The 25845-nt window shown below is 40.1% G+C and overlaps 1 protein-coding gene across 6 annotated transcripts in view; it reads right to left on the bottom strand.

Annotated features, from left to right (window-relative positions):
• The window catches only part of GALNT5 (polypeptide N-acetylgalactosaminyltransferase 5), a 60787-nt gene that overhangs the window by 22456 nt on the left and 12486 nt on the right, over window positions 1-25845 (bottom strand). For 5 of the 6 annotated variants that reach the window (XR_007068940.1, NM_001329868.2, NM_014568.3 and 2 more), the window contains 3 exons: window positions 11588-11754; window positions 9902-10021; window positions 238-373 (listed from right to left, as the gene is read on the bottom strand). Coding sequence is in view for 5 of the 6 variants with exons in the window: in NM_001329868.2 (NP_001316797.1) it covers window positions 238-373; window positions 9902-10021; window positions 11588-11754 (423 nt within the window). In the remaining variant the exon portion in view is untranslated. Of the gene's footprint in view, window positions 1-237; window positions 374-9901; window positions 10022-11587; window positions 11790-25845 lie in introns of those variants that run through there. The other variant, XM_017003238.3, reaches the window with a different exon arrangement.

The following is a 25845-nucleotide window of genomic DNA, read 5'->3' as shown; positions in this document are numbered from 1 at the left end:
TGAGTATTAGGATTTATTGGTATTTAGAGTTAAGAATTTGTAGTGACCAGATAGATTATTGCATCAGCAGACTCTGATCCCAAGATATCGACCATGTTTTTCCATTTATTTAAGTAGATAAACTGTATATGTCTTGGATTTTGAAAAAACACACATATTAGGCATATACTCAGCACTTTCTGCTGCTTGTGATTAAAGATGTGCTTGAAAGTATCTTGTGGAATGTGTAAATATTACCTCATATCCTTATCATTGATGACTTCGATTACTGGACAGGCCACTTTCTTTCTACTTAAATAAACTCTTTCCAGAAGAGGTTCCAACCAACCAACGTTACATTCCACATGAGAATCTAAAAATGTCAACACATCACCTAGAGGGCCAAACACACACAAAAAACTTAGAAAATACGATATATTGAATGTGTGTACTTCATGTTCAAAGGTATTGATGATTGCTCCAGAAATGTGGCTATAAATGCAGTGACCTTTTTTTTTTTTTCTGAATTCGTGGTCACTATAATTTCATTTCATACTGAAATGAGAGAAACTTTGCTCCTAGGAGTCCTGTGGTGCAAACATAATTTATGTTTGGAAAAAATTGATAAGCCATTTAGAATGGGCAAAAGAATCTGAAAAGAATACTTGGTATTAAATGTAGTTGCTGAAGTCCCCTCTGAGAGAGTGTGCCCATTAACTCTGGGGGTGCAGGATTTGGGACTTTGTTTTTAAGAAGCAGACAGACTGAGATGACAAGTTTGGCCTTAGGAATGATGAAGAGGAAAAATTACTTCACACAATAGGGATGAAAGAAATTAAAGTGGACAAACCAGCAAGGCTAGGAGGTAATGAAAAGAGTTATAGGAGACAGGAGTGGGGAATGGGAGGTTACTGATTAATGGGTATGGAGTTTTATTTTTGCAAGGTAAAAAGAGTCGTGGAGACTGCACACCAATGTGAACGTATGTAACACTATGGGCCTGCACACTTAAAAATGGTTAAGATGGTACATTTTTATATTCTATGTATTTTATACAATTTTTAAAAAGACTTAGAGGAGGAAAAAAAAAAGGAAAAGAAACTTGGAGGCCAGAAGTAGTATTAAGAACTCTTTTATTTCCCTGTTAGTTGTGTGAAGTAACACTCTCTCTCTCTCTCTCCATTGAAACCTCAGTAGCATCTACATTGCTCCAGAGGATCTTATACAAGTGAAGTGTGTGTGTGTGTGTGTGTGTGTGTGTGTGTGTGTGTGGTGTGATGTGATGTGTGTGTGAGAGAGTGTAACAACCCAGGAAATAAGCTCCTGGTCCACATCCTATGTGTGATCTTTCAGGCCCAACCACAGGTAATACAAAGGCTCTACCTACTGGGGCTCATGGGGGAAACCTGCTTTCTCACTCAGACTTGGTGCCCAGCCAGTGTGTTGAAGTCTCTAAAGGGAGTTGCGGTCCAGGTCTCAGACCCTCCACTCGGCTGCAGCACTTGCTCTTCTGCCTGTCTGCATTCCTAACTCAGGTGCCTCCATTCAGGCCAAAACCTCTGCCAGGACCACTTTATTGGAGATGGAATGGGTCTTGAAGACACTTTGCTCGACTCTGACTCACTATTCAGTGCTTTCCCACTCCTAGCCTTTCGCTTTCTTACTCTGGATCCCAGGGCCACATAACAGAAGGAGCCTTTTGTGCTGGGTTCCTTGGGCAGGCAGTGAGATGCCCCTCTTGTCTGCTCTGTTCTGCTCTGATCCATCACTCAGCAACATTCCAGGGGGAAAAATGGAACATAGGAGGAGCCAGTGCCTTCTCCTGTTCAGCCTCCTGTTGATACTGTTGCAGTAAGGGATTAAGGCTTGACTACTGCTTTCATTTTGGTTTATCATTTTAATTGACTACTTTGATACCTGGGTGCTCAGCTCAGCTCTTGACATACCTGTAAGAGCAACCATCATCTAAGTGCTTGTTCTATGCCAGTCTCTGTTCTAAACATTCTTCATGCATGTTTTATGTAGTCTTTACAACAACCCTGCAGTATAGAACTAATTTTTATTCCCACTTAAGAGACAAGGAAACTAAAGAACAAAGACCCTAGGTAACTTTTCTATGGTTGCACAGCTAACAAACAGCAATGTGATATTAGAAAATAAGTAGCTCATTCCATAGATTACATTCTTTAAAAAATGCTAGAAGGAGGCAGAGCTTTGGGTATGAGAAGGCTTAGAGAACAAGATGAGGATAGTTATCTAGATGACAGATCATTATCACTGAAATCTGCAAACTACCTCTCAATTAATAGAATTTAGCATCGTATTAATTACTTGGTTAACAATGGCATTTTTGCATGAGGGCAAGGTATTGGTGTGGAGTGTTCTTGAGGATTCTGTTTAGTGAAACCATCTGTGAGAAGCAAACCCGCTCCATGTAGTCTTCTGTTCTTGGAGATAGCAGTTTCATCTCCTGACCAGGCTGGAAGGGTCCTATTTTCAGGGCATTAATGCTTGTTTGACAATGACAGGGTATTGTCCCCTGCATGGTCTGAATGTACGTGTCAATCCAAAATTCATATTTTGAAACCTAACCCTAAGATGACAGTATTAGGAGGTGGGGCCTTTGTGATAAGATCATGAGGGTGGAGTCTTCTTAAGTAGGATTAGTGCTCATATGAAAGAGGCTGGAGAGTGTTTGTGAGCTCCTTTTGCCCTTCCACCATGTAAGGTCACAGTAACAAGGTGCCGCCTTTGAAGCAGACAGTGAGCTGTCACTAGACACCGAATCTGCTAGTGCCTTGATCTTGGACTTCCCAGCCTCCAAAACTGTGATCAATAAATATATGCTATTTATAAATGATCTAGTCTAAGGCATTTTGTTATAGCAGCCCAAAAGGACTAAGCCATCTCCTAAGGGTGTCCTTTGGGGATGGCACCTTTGGGACAGCTGTCTCCCCTGTCATGGGAAGACTCACAGAGTCATGTAGGTGTATGAAGCGTGGCCTGCTAAAGTCCACTTGGCTAGTGGTATACAATGTAGTAGAAAAAGATTCCTGGCCGGGTGTGGTGGCTCACGCCTATAATCTCAGCACTTTGGGAGGCTGAGGTGGTAGGATCATGAGGCTGAGAGATCAAGGCCATCCTGGCCAACATGGTGAAACCCCATCTCTACTAAAAATACAAAAATCAATCGGGCGTGTGTGTGTGCCTGTAGCCCCAGCTATTCAGGAGGCCTAGGCAGGAGAATCACTTGAACCCAGGAGGCGGAGGTTGCAGTGAGCAGAGATCACGGCACTGCACTCCAGCCTGGTGACACAGCAAGACTGTGTCTCAAAAAAAAAAAATAATAATACGATTTCTACTTGTGGTCCATTCAGACCTAGAGTTTAAAGAGCATTCTTTACTACGCCACCTGTCCCTATCCCCATAGCAGCCTTATGAAGTCAAAGGGGCCTGGATTATCTTTCTCAGTCCCCAGTGGCAGCAGGATGGGTCCCCAAACCTGCATTCACTTCCCACCTGGCCCAGATCCCTATGAAAATTCTCATTCATTTGCTGCCAGGACCTAAGGGAAGCAGCATCTGCTCAAAACATAGTCTGGAATTTTATATTGTTTTATTTTGGGGAAGAGGAGAATCCTCCTGTGCATGCATGCTATTGCTCTACTTTCAGACACTTTGTTTTAAAATAAGATCCTAGGACTATGTTAGGTGAGAAAACAGGGAGCTCTCTGCGTAGCTGACTCTTGGTGGGATTTCTGATTGGCGTGGTTATTGTCTATGGACATTGTACGCACTGTTCCTGATTCAGAGAGGGGAGAGGCACAGTGAAATAAGCATAGCATTAAAGTTACATACAACAGCCTTCAATCCGAGCTCTGCTTTTCCTAGCCAGGTTAGATAAGTTACTTAACTTTTTTGAGCTTTGCCCTATGAAGATATTTCTAAGAGCTACCTGATATCTAAATTCTTTAAAAATTGCTAGTATAATTTACTGTCAGAATAATCAACCCAATCACTTAAAATTTTTAAATGACACATAATAATTGTATATATTTATGGGGTACATAGTGATATTTGATACATAAAGTGTGTAGTGATCAAATCAGGGTAATTAGCATATCAATCACCTCAAACATTTATCATTTATCTGTATTGGGAACATTCAAAATCCTCTCTGATAGCTACTTGAAAATATATAATAAACTATTGTTAACTATAGTGACCCTATAGTGCTACAGAGCACTAGATTTGGAAAGGGTAGGAGAGAGGGGATATAGGGAGAGGCGGGTTAAAGAATATAAAATTTTAGTCCAACCTTGATTGCTACCTGTTAGGATTTTCTGTTTTCTAAGGATAGGTCCCAATAATACTGGATTGTTTACAGATGGGTTTCATTTGTAACTTAAAAATCTGGGGGGGGGTGGGTGGTAACATAAAACTGTTCAATGTGCCAAAAATTTTGGGTCCTTGTTGAGCATGGACCCCCACTTATATCCAGTGTACCAGCCTGGAATATTGCTGCTGTACCAGTTAATGCTAGATGGTTATGTCTAGGATTCCTTGAGGGATGTTGGCTTGGCGTGCCGTTTAATTTTACATAATGCCTCCTAAGTAATGCTAAGGAAAAAATTTTTACCTGCAGCAGATACAAGTTATAAAAGTTTGCAGACAGATGTCTACTGTTGCTTTTTAGGAGACCTTGGAGTTTGCTAGGAGTTAGATGTCACTTGTCCAGTTACTTAAAGTTAGCCAAGTGATTATTTAGAATGCTCATAGAAATGTCAGGAATTTTGCCAAATGCCATGTCATGAAGGAAATGAAAACCTAATATTTACTTTGACTCTCTACTGCCTGACTGTAACTCCTCTTGGCAGGGCAGTAAATCACTTGGTCTGTTCCATACTAGGAAGGGATATGGGTGATCTACTTCTTCCCTGATATCTCATTTACTCTATCTTTTTAATTCTGTTGGCTTCATATAGTGGGCAATTCTTAGAGATCCATTGCCCCGGCCTACCTGTCAATTTTAAAATCCTACTTGGGCCTCTCAACCTCCTCATTCACAGCAAGCAACTGATTGGACCTAATCTTTTTGCCTGAATTAGATTCAGATGAAGAACTAACATGCCCTGGAAACTGAATGCATAGTAGACATTGCTAATGGTAAGGCCGATCACTGCTTGGCCCCTTATTATTTTGTAGATGATTGCAGACTTTCAGAGAGCCTCTTGCAGAACTTCAGAGAGCCTCCTAATACCCTGGGACCAAAATAGGCCATCTGACTTCTATTTCTGCATGTCTTTGGATCTCTGGATCTCACCCTTGCCTGTTACTTCCCTTTTCTTTGAGTCCTAAAGGGCAAATTTTAGGGAACAGTAGCATCAAGGCCTGTCAGATTCTGGACTCAGATTCTTATCTTTAAACTCCTTGTTTGGCGAGGCATCCTAGAGAAAATTTTTGTCTGCTGTCTTTGCTGATCTCTAATTTACAGGAACTCTTCAGGAGGCCCTTAGTCTCTTACTTATCTCTACTCTTGAGAGCTGTGGCACACCCAGGGGAGTTTGAGAGGACCCACCACGCCTGCCATCTCTGCTCAATGCCAGTCTCTGAATTACATTCTCTGCTAAAACTGATCCTGCATTGCCTTGAATTCCCCACAGGGGACAGGTGTACTTCCCAGCATTGGATGTATCCTTGGGCAAGGATACATCGAGACAAACCTTTCTTCTTTCCAAACTCTCAGGCACCCAAGCTCCACTAATGCTGCTCCAAGTGTAGGCCACAGACCCTGCTGTCTACAGGGTGATAGCAATAGAAATTGAGAACAAATATTTTGAAACTTTATAGCAATTTGTCAAATTTATAAATTTATTATTTATTTACTGTTTTTATATACATGTAGATACATATGCATATATATGTATATATGTGTTTGTGTATGTATATATATATATATATATATATATACATTTTTTTTTTTTGAGACAGAATTTTGCTCTTGTTGCCCAGGCTGGAGTGCAGTGGTGTGATCTTGGCTCACTGCAACCTCCGCCTCCCGGGTTCAAGAGATTCTCTGCCTCAGCCTCCTGAGTAGCTGGGATTACAGGCACCTGCCACCACTCCCAGCTAATTTTTTTGTATTTTTAGTAGAGACAGGGTTTTGCCATGTTGGGCAGGCTGGTCTCGAACTCCTGACTTCAGGTGATCTGCCTGCCTTGGCCTCCCAAAGTGTTGGGATTACAGGAGTGAGCCACCACCCAGCCATATATATTTTGTATGTAATAAAAATGGGTTTGTGTTTTATATATCTACTTTCCTTTTTGGGTAATTAATATTGATTATAATTTACAAAGGGGTAGGTCAATAAAAAATTGGAAATTAGGGGAAAAAAATTCCTTTTCAGATAGTTTGGGAAGCATCACTCTACTAGGCAGTGGCAAGCAATTAAGATACACCTAGCTGGGGTTTTTCAAACTGAGAGCTGTAGATTCCCTTAGTGAATCAATCACTAAATCAATTTATTGAGATTGGCTAGGATCTAAAACATAAATAACATAGAAAAGAAGGTATTAGAATCTATTCCACATGTTATTTGATAAAATGTCTACTGTAGTTATATGTGTGATTACACATGTACTGAGTTGTGATGAAACATTTATTTCTACACAAGCCATTGTCAAAATGGTTTGACAGTTACTGAGCTAATATTCTCAAGGCTGTTAATGAATCTGAATTTACATTCAGATTTGCTAAATTCAAATAAATTACATTATGGATGTTAACTGCAAGCACTTGAGCAAGCAGTTGCAACTGCTTTAATCAAGCTCATAACACCCCTTCTAAGACACTCCACCCATGTTGTCTAATAGTTTGGACTGTGTTGGAGGCCGTTACTAGCATACTCTGTGCTCCGTGCAGGCAGAGAGAAAATTTTTAAATAAGTAACCCATATTTGGTTCTGTATTCTACTTTCTGTGCATGAATATCTCATTTTCATCTCAAATTTATATGGACAAAATCAAAACTCAACTGCAATTCCAAACCTGCTCCTCCAGTTTTGAGCCTACCACCCACCAAGTTGTTCAGATACCAGTCCTAGGGTTTGTTTCTGATTGGTGTCATTCTTATTCTCTTCACATCTTATCTGACGGCAAGTCCTATACGTTCCATGTGCACAATCTATGATGAAGCTGACCATTTCTCCCATTTACCCTGGCACCTCCCTGGTACTTGGACAACTATAGTAGCCTCCTAACTGGCCTCCCTACTTCCTTTTTCATCTTCCTAATATCCATTCTCTACACAGTGGCCAGAATGAGCTTTCAAAATGTACATCAGACAGTTTCGTTCCTATTTAATATTCTTCATTGGCTTCACCTTATACTGAGAATAATGCCTACAATCTTTAAGTGATGCACAAAACTTTAGAAAAATTTGCTTTTTTCTTTCTCCCCAAATGAATCTTTTATGACTCTCCCCATGGTCAGCACCCATGAGTCAAAATGAACTTATTTCTTTACCTTGAATATGCCAAGCTCATTTCTTCATTAGGACATTTGTACTTCTTGTTCCATTTGCTTGGGAATATTCTTCACCCAGACCTCAGCTCAAAAATTACCTATTTAAACTAGTTCTTGAGTATCCTATTTTTACGTCATTTATAGATAATTACTTTCCAAAGGAAATTAAGCATGGAATGCCATTAAATTTTTCTGAATGCAGTCTCTCATCAAGAATCTTAACTGTCACTGCAATGCCAATTTTGGTGTGATGTATTTGTTGCTTACTTAAAATTTCCTCTACAAAGAGAAGACATTTGTTAGCAAACCAATGAAATGAGAAGAGCTTCAAATATGGGGTCCAGTTATGAGAAAATTAAACTCAGGTAAGCAGAAAACTTCCCATCAGAACATGCTTGAATTTAAGCTGGTGGAGACCTGTAAAAGCAGGGCTTACAGGGCCAGAGTGGTGGCTAAATGTCTAGAGGCCTCAAGGTGTAGTTGATAAGAGGACGGACTCTGGGGTCAGGGCATTCAGGTGCCAGCTTTGGATTTACCACTGGCTAGATGGGGGAGCTTGCATAAGGCACAGCCTCACTGTGCCTCTATATTCTCATATGTAGAATGAGGATGTGATTGTACTCATCTCATAGAGTTATTGTGAGGATTCAATCAGTTAATACACAAAGTATTCAGAATGGCACCTAGCATATAAATCAGCTAGTATTACAGGGCACAGATCCTTCCATAGAAATGTATGAACATGAACCCAAATGTTTGATGTTGTTTTTAGAATACTCATAAAATAGATTCACTTCTCATTCACTCACCAACACCTGCACACTAAAAAGGGGAGAGGAAAAGAAGGCATACGGCCTTTGGGGAAGGCAGAAAGAACCATAGGAAGAATAGACATGGGTCAGAGAAGAGAGGGGTGAGGATTATAGAATTAAAACATTACGAAATCTTGAAATATTGATGGGTCAGGTCAAAAGGGCACAGGCTTGAAGAAGCTCCTAGTGGTCAAATTTGGGACAATTTGAACACCAACAAGAATAATGGTGATATAATACACATTTAATTTCTGAGCCATAAATCCATATCGATGAGGGGATGAGAGGGAGGGGAGAGGGAGATTGAGGGGAAAGGGAGGAAGAGTTAGAAAGCAGGAGAGGGAGAGATAGAGATTTTCTCCTTACACATGAATGCCAGCTAAATAAAAAAGAATGAATTATAGAAAAGCAAATTTTCAGTCCTCAGTGTAATAATTGATTTAAGCAAGGATGATCAATGGATACTAAAAACCATTGGGTAAAACATTGTAAGAAAAACAGAATATTTTCATGGATCAATGTGTCATTCCACAAATTACTTCTTAATCCCAAAGTAAAGGTTTAGCTGTCAACATCTTAACTAACAAAGTTAGTATCAACAATACTGGTGATATTATGTTATATTATATGCCTCTTGATGAGATGTATACCATTTCTATCACCTATGTAGTAGCATTCTATATAATATTTTCACTCCAAAAACATTTATCCTGCAGGTAACAAGAGGAAATCAAAAATTTCAGAACATGGTCACTGGTACCAAACAAATGGCATGAACTTAAAATACACACACACACACACACACACACACACACACACACACACACACTGGTATTTAAACAAAGTGTGTGAGGAGTTGACTTTTCAGACTAAGAAGACCAAAGTATCAAATGCAGAGTATGAAACTTAATTAGTTCCCGAATTTAAAAAAACATTTTGAGGCCTGTAATCCCAGCACTTTGGGAGGCCGAGGCGGGCGGATCACGAGTTCAGGAGTCGAGACCATCCTGGCTAACACAGTGAAACCCCGTCTCTATTAAAAATACAAAAAATTAGCCGGGCATGGTGGTGGGTGCCTGTAATCCCAGCTACTTGGGAGGCTGAGGCAGGAGAACGGTGTGAACGAGGGAGGCGGAGGTTGTGGTGAGCTGAGATGGCACCAGTGCACTCCAGCCTGGGTGACAGAGCGAGACTCTGTCTCAAAAAAACAAAAACAAAAACAAAAACATTTTGGGAACAATGAGAAAACTTGAAAAGAGCATATAGTAGGTATTATATTTAGTTATGAAAGCTGTGCTTATTTAAGAGAATGCTTCTGTTCTTCAGAGCTGCCCACTGAAGTACTTAGGGGTGCAGTATGATGATGTCTGTAACTTCTTTTTCAAAGGTTCAGGAAAAAAGTATATACAATAGGTGTCTATGTGTGTTTATGATAAAGCACATATTATAAAAACTGTTTAAAATTGATGGAACTAAGTGATGCATATATAGGCATCATTGTGCTGGTCTTTCACATTTGCTGTATGTTTGAGAAACATTTTAAATTAAAATAAAAATGTAACAAACAAAAAAATGAGTAACTTCTTACCTGTTGCATTCTGTGCTCCTGCCAGCCTGGCCCTTATTAAGCCATGTCTCTCTTTGAGGCGAAGAATCCGAACTTTTGGAAACTGGGACATGTATTTATCCAAATTATCTTTTAGATAGTCTACATCAGAGTAAAGATAAACCAGGAAATACTTGAATTAAGTAAGTCCGGATAGTATCAGAAGTGCTCCCCAAAGTCAAATGCCAAAAACTATGACATTACCATCATCACTGAATTTTATTCCTTGGGTCATAATTTTATTTTCTGATGTCATTTTCTTGGAAGGATTCTATCTGGTTTCAGTATTCAAAGCTGTCTGATTTTTCAAACCCCAAATGTTTGTTTTCAGTGTTGTAAGGTGATGTAGTGGAGGGCACACCTTTCTGAGTATTTGTCAAGGTGGGGGCAGATTTGCCTTAAAATATATGTAGCTCAGGCTTCTGCACAATTCTGCCTCTACTCTCAGCCCCACCTCTTGCAAAAGCCCCTTCCATGACCCAAGGAAGAGGCTAAACAATGTGTGCAAATAAGACCCTTTCATTCTCTACTCTGACATCCCCTTCCATTACACCTTTTCTCTCTTATTAGATGGCCATGGAGGGATCCAGCTAAAGGAACAGTTTTCCGGGGGCTTTATGAGCTATGTTTATGTGACTTACAGTCATTTCTGTGTGTAATCAAGCTATTGACAGCTATCCTAGGTTGGAATGGCTTCCAGAAAACTTTCTAAGAAAGTTTTTCTTAGACAGGACCCTGAAAACTGAATAAGCTTCAGGTCCCACAGAATCTGGACCTGCCCCTCATAAAGGGACTCCTATCTACTTACTAATTGGGTACTATTCCTGTTTATGCTTCCAAGGCCACATTTTATGTTTTTCAGCCAGTTTTTCTCTATCATCCCACAGCTTCTTGAGCTCAGTGTGATTATGGCAGAAACTCTGAAGCTAAAGAAACTTCCCATGTTGCTGTGGTCACAGCTCAAGGGTAAGCTGTTCCATTAGCATTGCCAAGTCTTTGCTATTTTCTAAACTTTTCTGAAAAATGGGTTCCATTTGGGAATTTGTAATGTGGCTGTCAGACCACCTACATACACAGGTTATTTGACAACCCAAAGAGTGAGATTCTTCACTGTAATAAGCAAAAATGAACATAAAGGCTATGGTGGATTCTGGTTTTGAACTTTGTTGGAATCACCTCATCTCTCTTGTCCTATTGGCAATTTGTCTTCTTAACACTTAACTGAACACATCATATGCCTTGCTCTCAAGGAAGAAGCCATAAGATCTTAATTTCTTTGCCTTCCATAGAGTCTAACTGTAACTCTAGTTATTACCAGTAGGCAAGGCCTCCCGTTAATTGTGATTCCATTAAAAGGGATTTGTGCAATTGTAGAGGACATCTAAACTCCACTACTTCTAAGTGCCCATCTCCAAGGAGCCATAGTTAGATCATTCCAACATGGTAGCAGAGTTACAACTGAGACAACTAACTGAACAGAGCTCCAGATGACTTTTAACGTCCATAGATGCTTAGACTTATGTCTCTGAGGCTCCACGTAAAACAAAGCATTTGTACGATGTTTATGCTTCATCAAATTATCCTATAATTTTGCCATCCAAACTGCTACTAAACTTTGCTTCTGCCAAACTTTGAAATTTCAAGAGATAGCCTGAGTGGTTTTCTTACCTTTGGTGCTGAAGTCATCTACCAGCAGAATCTCCTTGATGAGGTGTGGAGGAGAGCGATTGATGACACTGTGAACAGATCTCAGGAGAGTGGACCACACTTCATCCACAAAGCACATGATGACACTGGTGGTTGGGAGGTTATTGTGAACTAGCTGCTCTGCACATCTGGGCCAGAATATAAGCAGAGCACAAGAGATGTGCTAAGGAGATCCACAAGATAGTTTTAAAAGTCACAGAGTGCGATGGTGTGCATATACACACACACTTAATCTGTCATCGATCTGTCTGGTCTATCTATCATCTATTTATATATACCAATGATGATTTTATTATTTATCATGTGCCTTTTTTTGGGGAGGGGTACATGCAAAATAAAAAAGCAGAAGAATTACCCGTAACCGTGGTTGTTATAAAAGGACTAGAAATGCAAGACATGAGAATGTCCCATGCAGACATCACACTGCAGTGGAAAGGACAGGGTTTACAGGTAGTTAGACTCTATTTCAAATCTCATGGCCAATATTTCTCAGGTCTTTAACCATTAATGCCTTCTTTAACTTCTCTGTGCCTCAGTTTCCTCATCTGCAGAATGAGGTAATAAATGGTTCTTATTCAATAGAGTTTTGTAGCCTAGTGATAATGTACATACAAAGCCTAGCAGGGTTCCTGGCACAGGAATTTATGAAATGGTAGTTATTGCTATCATTACTAGATTATATGCTAGAAGATAGCATTCTGACTTATTTAATGTTCCCAAGTGGTTTATGATTGCCTTTCCAACTGGCTGTCTGCCAACTGCCATGGGATTTATTCTTTTCTCCCATTCTGCTTGTGTATGTACTTATGGCATAATATATATGTGCCAAATAATTAAACTCTTTTTAGCTTCCGTATCCGGGGCTTCCTTGCTGATACTCTGCTACAGAATAGCCACAGTTGAAAAACCATTTTGCTGGCATAGGAATGCAATCCAGGCTACAGTGGGAGTTAGTATTCAGGTGGGTTGCAACTGGCCTGGGTTTTTTCCCATGCCCTGCAGAATACACTGCCTCACTGCTGGCATTCTTTCACCCCCTGCCTGTGCCACTCTTCATAAGCAGTGCCCAGTGGAACCTCACAAAATGTATTTGCCATCTTACTAACACAGCTACTGTCAGTAATGTGATAATTAATGATGATCATAAATATTATAAGCATTCTATATTATTTCAATGTCGACCTCAAATTACCAGCATCTCTTTCCCTTTTTATTGGTGAATAATCAAAATCATGGAAAGACTAGTCCATGATTCTGCAGTTAGTAAATGGCAGAGCTGGGACTCGAACACTGATCCAGTCTGGCTCCAAAAGTAACCATTGAGGAAGCCTTAGATCCACAAGAATAGAAGCAGCTGGCAGTAGATGCGACATTTTGTGAGAGCTGGCACTTCTGCCAAATAACATGGTTATACTTTACTTATTCCATAAATAAGAAATAGGTAAGAGCAAAAACGATAGTAAAGCAAATCACATTTGCATGACACTCTAGTGTTGCCAAAGTGCTATTCTGTACATAATTGAATTCAGTCTTCATAACAACTGCTTGAGATACATATTATTATACACTTCTTCAAATCTTGGGAAGTTAAATGACTTACCCACATCATCCACCTAGATAGGATATATAAGGAAATATGAACAAATAATGTTTTTACTTTACTGCTGGTTTTTTTTGTAGAATGGGCTTTGGAAATAGATATGTGCTCAAATATCAGTTTTTCTAATTACTGATTTGGAACAGCTTTACTACTTCTTTGAACCTCAATTTGCCAACTACAAAGCTGAAATTAAACATGTACCTATAAGATTACATATAAACATTATGTAAAACTCATCTAATATATATCTGACACATAGGGGGTACTTAAGAAATGGTAGACAAATCCAGCTGTGCTTCATAATTTCAATGGTTTCCTAGATGGTTGTTTATCATAATAATTGACAAAGCCTTAGAAAAACATAAATATCCAATCCTCAGCCCCAGAAAATCAATTTACAAGGTTTGCTGAGGGCCCAAGAATCCATGTCTTAAAATACAAACAAATAAAAGAAAACACAAAGAAACCAACCCACCAACAAACAAAAGAATGACTCACAAATCATTGATTGGTGAGTTTAAGAACTTGAGCTCAAGATAAAGTTAATTTATTCTTATTATTTGAGGCTAATATTAAAAAAAATAAATTGACAGCTGATAGGAGCATGTCCTAAATGTTCAAGTGACAGAGAATTAAAATAACACATTTTGATTCACTATCTTCATGTAGTGATCAGGTATCTAATGCTAACTTAAAATATCAGACTGTCTAAACTAATATTAGTCTACACTAAGGATCCATGCATTAGCACTTCTGAATAATATGAGAAGATATTCCTCTCTTCACTTAAGAGCTTTATCAGTTTACTTTGGCCACCATAACAAATTACTGAAAATTCTGCTTAACAGTTCCTTCCTGAATGTATCTATTTTCTCTCACATTTGTACTCTGAACAGAAAGAAGATATCAGTATGCACCTTCAACATTTTGCTTGGTACTCTCCTCAGCTAAATATCCGATTTCATCATTGGCAAGTTCTGCTAATTTTCACATGACTATAGGACACAGTTAAGCCAAGCTCACTGCCACTATGTAACACGGATCATTTTCTTCCATTTCTCAATCATGTGCTCTATATTTCCTTCTAAGCCTGCACCAGAAGTACTTACAATGCTCATATTTTTGCCAACATTCTGCTCAAGATAGCATACATATTTTCAAAGATGATTGATAGAAGCTTTCTTTCTTTCTTTCTTTTTTTCTGAAATAGAGTCTTGCTCTGTCACCCAGGCGGGAATGCCATGGCGCAATTTGATAGGAGCTTTCTCTACTGTGCCGCTCACTTCCTTCTGAGCCCTCACCAACAGCATCCTTGATATTCATATTGCTACCAACAGTGACTTCAGGGCATTCTAGGCTTTTTCTATGATGCTTCACAGAATTCTTCCGGCCTCTACCTATTAGCGAATTCCTTGGTGTATTAGGCCATTTTTGTGTTGCTACAAAGAAATCCACCTGGCTGGGCACCTGTAATCCCAGCACTCTGGGAGGCCGGGGTGGGTGGATCACTTGAGGTCAGGAGTTCAAGACCAGCCTGGCCAACATGGTGAAATCCAGTCTGTACTGAAAATACAAAAATTAGCTGGGCATCGTTGCGGGTGCCTGTAATCCCAGCTACTTGGGAGGCTGAGGCAGGGAGAATCGCTTGAACCCTGGAGGTGGAGGTTGTAGTGTGCAGTGAGCTGAGATCGCACTGCTGTACTCCAGCCTGGGTGACAGAGTGAGACTTCATCTAAAAGAAAGAAAGAAAGAAAGAAATACCTGAGACTAGCTAATTTGTAAAGAAAAGAGGTTTAATTGGCTCACGGTTCTGCAGGCTGTACAGGAAGCATGGCTCTGCCATCTGCTCAGCTCTTGGTGAGGCCTCAGGGAGCTTTTACCCATGGCAGAAGACGAAGTGGGAGCAGGCATGTTACATGACAGAGCAAGCAAGAGACAGTAAGGTGAGGTCTCTGACACTTTTAACCAACCAAATCTTATATGAACTGAGGGAGAACACACATATCACCAAGGGGATGGCACTAAGTCATCCATTATAGATCTGCCTCCGTGATCCAGTACCTCCCACCAAGTCTCACCTCCAACATTGGAGGTCACATTTCAACATGAGATTTGAAGGGGACAAACATCCAAACCATATCACTTGGCTATTCCTTGGATGATACTTCTGTATTTTTGGGTACTTGTTATAGCAGCACCTCACTCCTTGATACCAAAATTTATATTAGTTTCTTCTGACTGCCATGACAAATTACCACAAACTTGGTAACATATTCTGTCACATTTCTGGGGTCCAGAATTCTAAAACCAAGATGTCAGTAGGACCTCAGTCCCTCCATATGTTGTAGGGGACATTCTGTTCCTTGCCTCTTTCAGCTTCTGCTGGCAGTCTTTGACTTGTTGAATCACTCAAATCTCTCTCTCTGTCTTCACATCACTTTCTCCTCTGTGTCTCTCTGGGTGAAACCTCTGCCTGGCTCTCTTTTATAAGGATACATGTGATTTAGGGCATTTGGGGCTTATCTGGGTAATTCAGGGTAAATGTCTCCTCTCAAGATCCTTCATCACATCTCTTGCTTCAGAAGGTAATATTCACTGTTTTTCCAGGTGAGGTAATAATCACAGGTTCTGAGAATTAGGAAGTAAATATATTTTTGGAGAACCATGTCTTTTAGCCTGACACAAGGGCTTAATGAGTTAAGGCAAGAAATAGGCTGGGTGAGGTAGCTCATGCCTGTAATGCCAGTGCTTTGGGAGGCCAAGGTGGGTGGATCATCTGAGGTCAGGAGTTCGAGACCAGCCTGACGAACATGGAGAAACCCCATCTCTACTAAAAAATACAAAAAATTGAGGTCTGTTCCAAGATGGCCAAATAGGAACAGCTCCGATCTGCAGCTCCCAGCGTGATTGACACAGAAGACGGGTTATTTCTGCATTTCCAACTGAGGTACCTGGTTCATCTCATTGAGAGTGGTTGGACAGTGGGTGCAGCCCACAGAGGGTGAGCCAAAGCAGGTTGGGGCATCACCTCACCCAGGAAGCGCAAAAGGTCTGGGGATTTCCCTTTCTTAGCCAAGGGAAGCTGTGACAGATTGCACCTGAAAAAATGGGACACTTCTGCCCAAATACTGTGCTTTTCCCACAGTCTCAGCAACTGGCAGACCCAGAGATTCTTTCCTGTGCCTGGCTTGGCAGGTCCCACACCCATGGAACCTTGCTCACTGCTAGCACAGCAGTCTGAGATCAAACTGGGAGGCGGCAGCCTGGCTCGGGGAGGGACGTCCACCATTGCTGAGGCTTGAGTAGGTAAACAAAGCAGCTCAAACTGGGTGGAGCCCACCGCAGCTCAGCAAGGCCTACTGCCTCTGTAGACTCCACCTCTGTGAGTAGGGCATAGCTGAACAAAAGGCAGCAGACAACTTCTGCAGATTTAAATGTCCCTGTCTGACCGCTCTGAAAAGAGCAGTGGTTCTCCCAGCACGGCGTTTGAGCTCTGAGAATGGACAGACTGCCTCCTCAAGTGGGTCCCTGACCCCTGTGTAGCCTAACTGGGAGACACCTCCCAGTAGGGGCTGACAGACACCTCATATAGGCGGGTGCCCCTCTGGGACGAAGCTTCAGGCAGAGGAAGGATCAGGCAGCAATATTTGCTGTTCTGCAGCCTCCACTGGTGATACCCAGGTAAACAGGGTCTGGAGTGGACCTCCAGCAAACTCCAACAGATCTGCAGCTGAGGGTCCTGACTGTTAGAAGGAAAACTAACAAACAGAAAGGAATAGCATCAACATCAACAAAAAGGACATCTACATCAAAACCCCATCTGTAGGTCACCAGCATCAAAGACCAAAGGTAGATAAAACCACAAAGATGGGGAGAAACCAGGGCAGAAAAGCTGAAAATCCTAAAAACCAGAGCACCTCTTCTCCTCCAAAGGATTGCAGCTCCTAGCCAGCGATGGAACAAAGCTGGATGGAGAATGACTTTGACAAATTGATAGAAGTAGGCTTCAGAAGGTCGGTAATAACAAACTTCTCTGAGCTAAAGGAGCATGTTTAAACCCATCAAAAGGAAGCTAAAAACCTTGAAAAAACACTAGACGAATGGCTAACTAGAATAAACAGTGTAGAGAAGACCTGAAATGGCCTGATGGAGCTGAAAACCATGGCAAGAGAACTTCGTGATGCATGCACAAGCTTCAATAGCCGATTTAATCAAGTGGAAGAAAGGGTATCAGTGATTGAAGATCAAATTAATGAAATGGGGTGAGAAGACAAGTTTAGAGGAAAAAGAGGAAAAAGAAATGAACAAAGCCTCCAAGAAATATGGGACTATGTGAAAAGACCAAATCTATGTTTGATTAGTGTACCTGAAAGTGATGGGGAGAATGGAACCAAGTTGGAAAACACACTTCAGGATATTATCCAGGAGAATGTCCCCAACCTAGCCAACATTCAAATTCAGGAAATACAGAGAACACCACAAAGATACTCCATGAGAAGAGCAACTCCAAGACACATAATTTTCAGATTCACCAAAGTTGAAATGAAGGGAAAAATGTTAAGGACAGCCAGATAGAAAGGTTGGCTTACCCACAAAGGGAAGCCGATCAGACTAATGGTGGATCTCTCGGCAGAAACTCTACAAGCCAGACGAGAGTGAGGGCCAAAATTCAACATTCTTAAAGAAAAGAACTTTCAACCCAGAATTTCATATCCAGCCAAACTAAGCTTCATGAGTGAAGGAAAAATAAAATCCTTTATAGACAAGCAAATGCTGAGAGATTTTGTCACCACCAGGCCTGCCTTACAAGAGCTCCTGAAGGAAGCACTAAACATGGAAAGAAACAACTGGTACCAGCCACTGCAAAAACAGACCAAATTGTAAAGACCATCGATGCTATGAAGAAACTGCATCAATTAATGGGCAAACTAACCAGCTAACATCATAATGAAAGGATCAAATTCAAACATAACAATATCAATCTTAAATGTAAATGGGCTAAATGCCCTAATTAAAAGACACAGTCTGGCAAATTGGATAAACAGTCAAGACGCATCAGTGTGCTGTATTCAGGAGACCCATCTCATGTGCAGAGACACACATAGGCTCAAAATAAAGGGATGGAGGAGGATCTACCAGGCAAATGGAAAGCAAAAAAAGAACAGGGGTTGCAATCTTAGTCTCTGATAAAACAGACTTCAAACCAACAAAGATCAAAAGAGACAAAGAAGGCCATTACATAATGGTAAAGGGATCAGTTGAACAAGAAGAGCTAACTATCCTAAATATATATGCACCCAATACAGGAGCACCCAGATTCATAAAGCAAATCCTTAGAGATCTACAAAGAGACTTAGACTCCCACACAATAATAATGGGAGACTTTAATGCCCCACTGTCAATATTAGACAGATCAATGAGACAGAAGGTTAACAGGGATATCCAGGACTTGAACTCAGCTCTGCACCAAGCAGACCTAATAGACATCTACAGAACTCTCCACCCCAAATCAACAATATATATTCTTCTTAGCACCACATCGCACTTATTCTAAAATTGATCACATAATTGGAAGTAAAGCATTCCTCAGCAAATGTAAAATAACAGAAATCACAACAAACTGTCTCTCAGAACACAGTGCAATCAAATTAGAACTCAGGATTAAGAAATTTACTCAAAACTGCACAACTACATGGAGACTGAACAACCTGCTCCTGAATGACCACTGAGTAAATAACGAAATGAAGGCAGAAATAAAGATGTTCTTTGAAACCAACGAGAACAAAGACACAACATACCAGAATCTCTGGGACACATTTAAAGCAGTGTGTAGAGGGAAATTTATAGCACTAAATGCCCACAAAAGAAAGCAGGAAAGATCTAAAATTGACACCCTAACATCACAAATTAAAAGAACTAGACAAGCAAGAGCTTACACATTCAAAAGCTAGCAGAAGGCAAGAAATAACTAAGATCAGAGCAGAACTGAAGGAGATAGAGACACAAAAAACCCTTCAAAAAATCAGTGAATCCAGGAGCTAGTTTTTTGAAAAGATCAACAAAATTGATAGACCGCTAACAAGACTAATAAGAAAAGAGAGAAGAATCAAATAGATGCAATAAAAAATGATAAAGGGGATATCATCACTGATCCCACAGAAATACAAACTACCATCAGAGAATACTATAAACACCTCTATGCAAATAAACTAGAAAATCTAGAAGAAATGGATAAATTCCTGGACACATATACCCTCCCAAGACTAAACCAGGAAGAAGTTAAATCCCTGAATAGACCAATAACAGGCTCTGAAATTGAGGCAATAATTAATAACCTACCAGTCAAAAAAAGTCCAGGACCAGATGGATTCACAGCCGAATTCTACCAGAGGTACAAAGAGAAGCTGGTACCATTCCTTCTGAAACTATTCCAATCAATACAAAAAGCAGGAATCCTCCCTAACTCATTTTATGAGGCCAGCATCATCCTGATACCAAAACCTGGCAGAAACACAACAACAAAAAAAGAGAATTTTAGACCAATATCCCTGATGAACATCAATGTGAAAATCCTCAATAAAATACTGGCAAATTGAATCCAGAGGCACATCAAAAAGCTTATCCACCATGATCAAGTTGGTTTCATCCCTGGGATGAAAGGCTAGTTCAACATACACAAATCAATAAATGTAATCCGTCACATAAACAGAACCAATGACAAAAACCACATGATTATCTGAATAGATGCAGAAAAGGCCTTTGACAAAATTCAACAGCCCTTCATGCTAAAAACTCTCAATAAACTAGGCTTTGATGGAACATATCTCAAAATAATAAGAGCTATTTATGACAAACCCACAGCTTAATATCATACTGAATGGGCAAAAACTGGAATCATTCCCTTTGAAAACTGGCACAAGACAAGTTGCCCCTCTCACCACTCCTATTCAACATAGTGTTGAAATGGCCAGGGCAATCTGGCAAGAGAAAGAAATAAAGGGTATTCAATTAGGAAAAGAAGAAGTCAAATTGTCCCTGTTTGCAGATGACATGATTGTATATTTAAAAAACTCCATTGTTTCAGCCCAAAATCTCCTTAAGCTGACCAGCAAATTCAGCAAAGTCTCAGGATACAAAATCAATGTGCAGAAATCACAAGCATTCCTATACACGAATAGCAGACAAACAGAAAGCCAAATCATTAGTGAACTCCGATTCACAATTGCCACAATGAGAATAAAATACCTAGGAATCCAACTTACAAGGGATGTGGAGGACCTCTTCAAGGAGAAATACAAACCACTGCTCAATGAAATAGGACACAAACAAATCGAAGAATATTCCATGCTCATGGATAGGAAGAATCAATATAGTGAAAATGGCCATACTGCCCATAGTAATTTATAGATTCAGTGCCATCCCTATCAAGCTACCAATGACTTTCTTCACAGAATTGGAAAAAACTCCTTTAAAGTTCATATGGAACCAAAAAAAGAGCCTGCATTGCCAAGACAATCCCAAGCGAAAAGAACAAAGCTGGCGGCATCACGCTACCTGACTTCAAACTATACTACAAGGCCGCAGTAACCAAAACAGCATGGTACTGGTACCAAAACAGATATATGGACGAATGGAACAGAACAGAGGCCTCAGAAATAACACCACACATCTACAACCATCTGATCTTCGACAAACCTGACAAAAACAAGAAATGGAGAAAGGACCCTATTTAATAAATGGTGCTGGGAAAACTGGCTAGCCATATGTAGAAAGCTGAAACTGGATCCCTTCCTTACACTTTATACAAAAATTAATTCAAGATGGATTAAAGACTTAAACGTTAGACCTAAAACCGTAAAAACCCTAGAAGTAAATCTAGGCAATACCATTCAGGACATAGGCATGGGCAAGGACTTAATGACTAAAACACCAAAAGCAATGGCAACAAAAGCCAAAACAGACAAATGGGATCTAATTAAACTAAAGAGCTTCTGCATGGCAAAAGAAACTACCATCAGAGTGAACAGGCAGCCTACAGAATGGGAGAAAATTTTTGCAATCTACCCATCTGACAAAGGGCTAATATCCAGAATCTACAAAGAACTCAAACAAATGTACAAGAAAAAAAACAAACAACCCCATCAAAAAGTGGGCAAAGAATATCAACAGACGCTTCTCAAAAGAAGACATTTATGCAGCCAACAGACACATGAAGAAATACTCATCATCACTGGTCATCAGAGAAATGCAAATCAAAACCACAAGAGATACCATCTCACACCAGTTAGAATGGTGATCATTAAAAAGTCAGGAAACAACAGATGCTGGAGAGGATGTGGAGAAATAGGAAGGCTTTTACACTGTTGGTGGGACTGTAAACTAGTTCAACCATTGTGGAAGACAGTCTGGCGATTCCTCAGGGATCTAGAACTAGAAATACCATTCCCATAGAAATACCAGTGATCCCATTACTGGGTATATACCCAAAGGATTATAAATCCTGCTACTATAAAGACACATGTACACGTTTGTTTATTGCGGCACTATTAATGATTGTAAAGACTTGGAACCAACCTAAATGTCCATCAATGATAGAATGGATTAAGAAAACATGGCACATATACACCATGGAATACTATGCAGCCCTAAATGATGAGTTCATGTCCTTTGTAGGTACATGGATGAAGCTGAAAACCATCATTCTCAGCAAACTATCACAAGGACAGAAAACCAAACACCACATGTTTTCACTCATAGGTGGGAATTGAACAATGAGAACACTTGGACACAAGGTGGGGAACATCACACACTGGGGCCTTTTAGGGGGTGGGGGGCTGGAGGAGGGATAGCATTAGGAGAAATACCTAATGTAAATGACGAGTTGATGGGTGCAGCAAACCAACATGGCACATGTATACCTATGTATCAAACCTGCACATTGGGCAGGTTTAAAGTATATTATTAACATTTATTAAAGTATAATAAAAAAAATACAAAAAATTACCCTGGCATGGTGGCGGGTACTTGTAATCCCAGCTACCTGGAAGGCTGAGGTAGGAGAATTGCTTGAACCCCAGAGGCGGAGGTTGCGGTGAGCTGAGATTGTGCCATTGCACTCCAGCCTGGGCAACAAGAGCAAAAATCTGTCTCAAAAAAAAAAAAAAAAAAAAAAAAAAAAAGCAAGAAATATGCTGTTTTCAAATAAAAAATTTAAAATGGCTTCCCTATCCCTCAACAAAATGTAGGTTTATTTTGAATTTACAGAATTGTTAGTCATGCTGTTTTTTTTTCCCTAAATTTGAAGCTTCTTTTAAGTTTGAGGAATTTGCACATTGAAGTCCACGAAAGTGTTAATTGGTGATACCAAATTATGAACTATCATATTGAAACTCTATTTTAGAAAATAAAGATAATTAGAAAAAAAGAAGAAAGAATATAAATTGAGGGATTTCCAAGAAGTACTAAAAAATTGGTCTATTTGGTTGCATAATTACCAACAATTCCAACAATTAGAGGACAATTTTGGAACTGGACAAACTTTAGACTCTGAAATGTTTTTCATAAGGCAAAAAAGGGAACATCTCCAAAATAAGATTCTAATTCTCAGAATCTCTTGTGATGACCATTAAAGACCAGAGTGATGAGACTAAAGTTTCCCAACGAGAGAATTGGTGGGGCTAGAGCACAATGAACTGCAAAGTAAAAGGTAAATGAACAATGAGACACCATCTCATACCAGTTAGAATGGCAGTTATTAAAAAGTAAAAAAACAACAGATGCTGTCAAGGCTGTGGAGAAAAGAGAATGCTTATACACTTCCATACTGTCGGTAGGAATGTAGTTCCTACCAATTAGTTTAGCCACTGTAGAAGGCAGTTTGGAGGTATCTCAAAGAACTTAACACAGAACTACCATTTGAGCAAGCAATCCAATTACTAGGTATATATCCAAATGAAAATAAGTCATTCTACCAAAACAATTCAGCACTATTCACAATAGCAAAGACATGTAATCAACCTAGGTGCCCCTCAATGGTGGATTGGATAAAGAAAATGTGATACATATATATCATGGAATCCTATGAAGCCATAAAAAATAACAAAATCATTTCCTTAGCAGCAACATGAATGCAGCTGGAGGACATTATCCTTAGCAAATTAACACAGGACCAGAAAACCAAATATCACGTGTTCTCACTTATAGGTGGGAGCTAAGCATTGGGTACTCATAGACATAAAGATGGCAATGATAGACACTGGGGACTACTAGAGAGGGTAAGGAAGGAGGGGTAACAGTTGAAAAACTAACTGTTGAGTACTATGCTCAGTACCTGGGTGACAGAATCATTTGTGTCCTAAACCTCAGCAGCATGCAATATACCCTGTAACAAACCTGTACATGTACTTCCTGAATCTAAAATGTTGAAATTATTTAAAAAAGGAGTAAAAGGTAAATGAGGGAAAGGATAGTATTTTGTGGACAATTTTGGGAGAAAACCTAGAAAAGAAAGAAATAGGAGGGTAGATAGGTGGGATACCAGGAAAATTTGTCATCCCTGTTCTCCCTTCCTCTGTTGAGTAGACATGGACAGAATCATATTTATGAGCATCAGAGTAGGTACAGATAGAGCTGAGAGTTGAAAAAAAAATCAGTAATTGATAGGATTATCAATGAAGCAAGGTCTCTTTATATTAACCCACCTTACAATGGCAGTTGATGCAATTAACAAGTCTAGTTTCCTTTGGCCACTCTCTATTTTTTAATTTTTTGTCCCATGAGACACTACACCCTCCTAGTTTTCACCCATCATTCACTGGCTTTTCACCTTCAGTTTCCTTCTTAGCTTTCCTTTCCTCTTAAGAAACACAAGATTCTCAGAGCTGGGTCTGGGGCTTTGTTTTCTTCTATGTGTGATATGATTGTATGAGCCCATCATGCTCACAGTTTTAAGTGTGATAATATCTTCATAGTTTATATACAGGTCAGATTTCCCATCTGAATTGCAGACTTAACTTATATCCAAACAATTTCTGAACATCTTCTCTGCATGTCTCACAGGCATCTCACTCATAATGTGTCTGAAACAGAAACCTTGACTTCACCCCACTCAACCCAACCAGCTCCTCTGCATTTCCCTCATAATGGCATCGCCACCCACCTTGCTGCAGAAATATGGATTCTCATCTAGACTTCACCCTCTTCCTGACCATAAATACAATCAATCCATCAACTTCTATTCTGTGTGTTGCCAACAGATATCTCAGCTATAACATCTTTATACCTCCACAGTTGCCTCCCCTAGCTCTTGAGCATCCACTCTCTTTCTCCAGGATTATTGCTGGAGTCTCCTAAAGGGACACTACTTCCACAGTTTGTCAGATCAACACCACTCTTCTGTTTAAAATCCTCAGTCAATTTCTATGGGACAAAGTGAAAAGGAAAAAAATCCAAATTCTTTAGTGTATAGGACCCCTGCTCAACTTTCCAACTGCCTGTCATTCCACTCTCCCCTCACACACTCCACCTTGGCCTTCTTTCAGTTCCCTGAAGAACACTCCAGCTTTTGTTATTTGCTTAACTTCTAGCATTTTTGCTACCCTTCCCATGTCTTCGCAGCTGGCTGCTTCTATTCCTTTAGTTCCTATCTTAAATATTCCCTTCATAGAGATGCCGTCTCTGACAACGCTTTCACATTTTTTTTTTTTTTGAGACAGAGTCTGGGCTGGAGTGGAGTGGCGTGATCACTGCTCACTGCAGGCTCCGCCTCCCGGGTTCACGCCATTCTCCTACTTCAGCCTCCTGAGTAGCTGGGACTACAGGCACCTGCCACCACGCCTGGCTAATTTTTGTGTATTTTTAGTAGAGACGGGGTTTCACCATATTAGCCAGGATGGTCTCGATCTCCTGACCTTGTGATCCACCCGCCTCAGCCTCCCAAAGTGCTGGGTTTACAGGCGTGAGCCACTGCACCTGGCCTACCCTCTCAAAATTAACTATTCTTTTATTATTCTCTATTATTGTGTTTCTGTCACAGCATTCATCTATCAATCTTATTTCCTTATCTTCTGCATCCAAAATTTTCTGAGGGTAGGACAAATCTGCCTTGCTTACTACAGTACCACAAGCTTCCAGCACAGTTACACAATAAATATTTGATAAATATGTATTGAATGCATGAATGAATGGATGGAGATGAGATGGAACTTAAAGCTTAAATAGTGGAAGAAATATTTCCCTTTGAGATAGAAAGTACAAAAAGGTGGTAACGTATACAAATATATTTATGCACATGGGATGAGAAGTTGAAAATATTCATAGCTCATACTGGAGGAAGGGTTATCTGTTAATGTAATAGGCTAGGGGCTTGAGGAGAATGGAGAATATTTTGGACAGATACTATGGGCAATGGGAGAGAATGCTGGCCAGCTAGCTAGGATTTCAGAGGGGCAGTGAGCACTTTCCTGAAACTGGAGATGCCAAAATTTTATGAAATTTCAATATATGATTTGCTCCACCAGTGCCTGCCAGCCTGCGTGTAAGAAGAGATAAAGCAAATTGCTGGATTAATATGAGTCTAAGGGATATCAGAGCACATGAGGTAGAAAGAGAATGGGTAGTG

This window comes from Homo sapiens, chromosome 2 (assembly GCF_000001405.40).
Source record: "Homo sapiens chromosome 2, GRCh38.p14 Primary Assembly".
NCBI classification, from domain to species: domain Eukaryota; kingdom Metazoa; phylum Chordata; class Mammalia; order Primates; family Hominidae; genus Homo; species Homo sapiens.
This window is presented reverse-complemented; position numbering and strand designations above follow the sequence as displayed.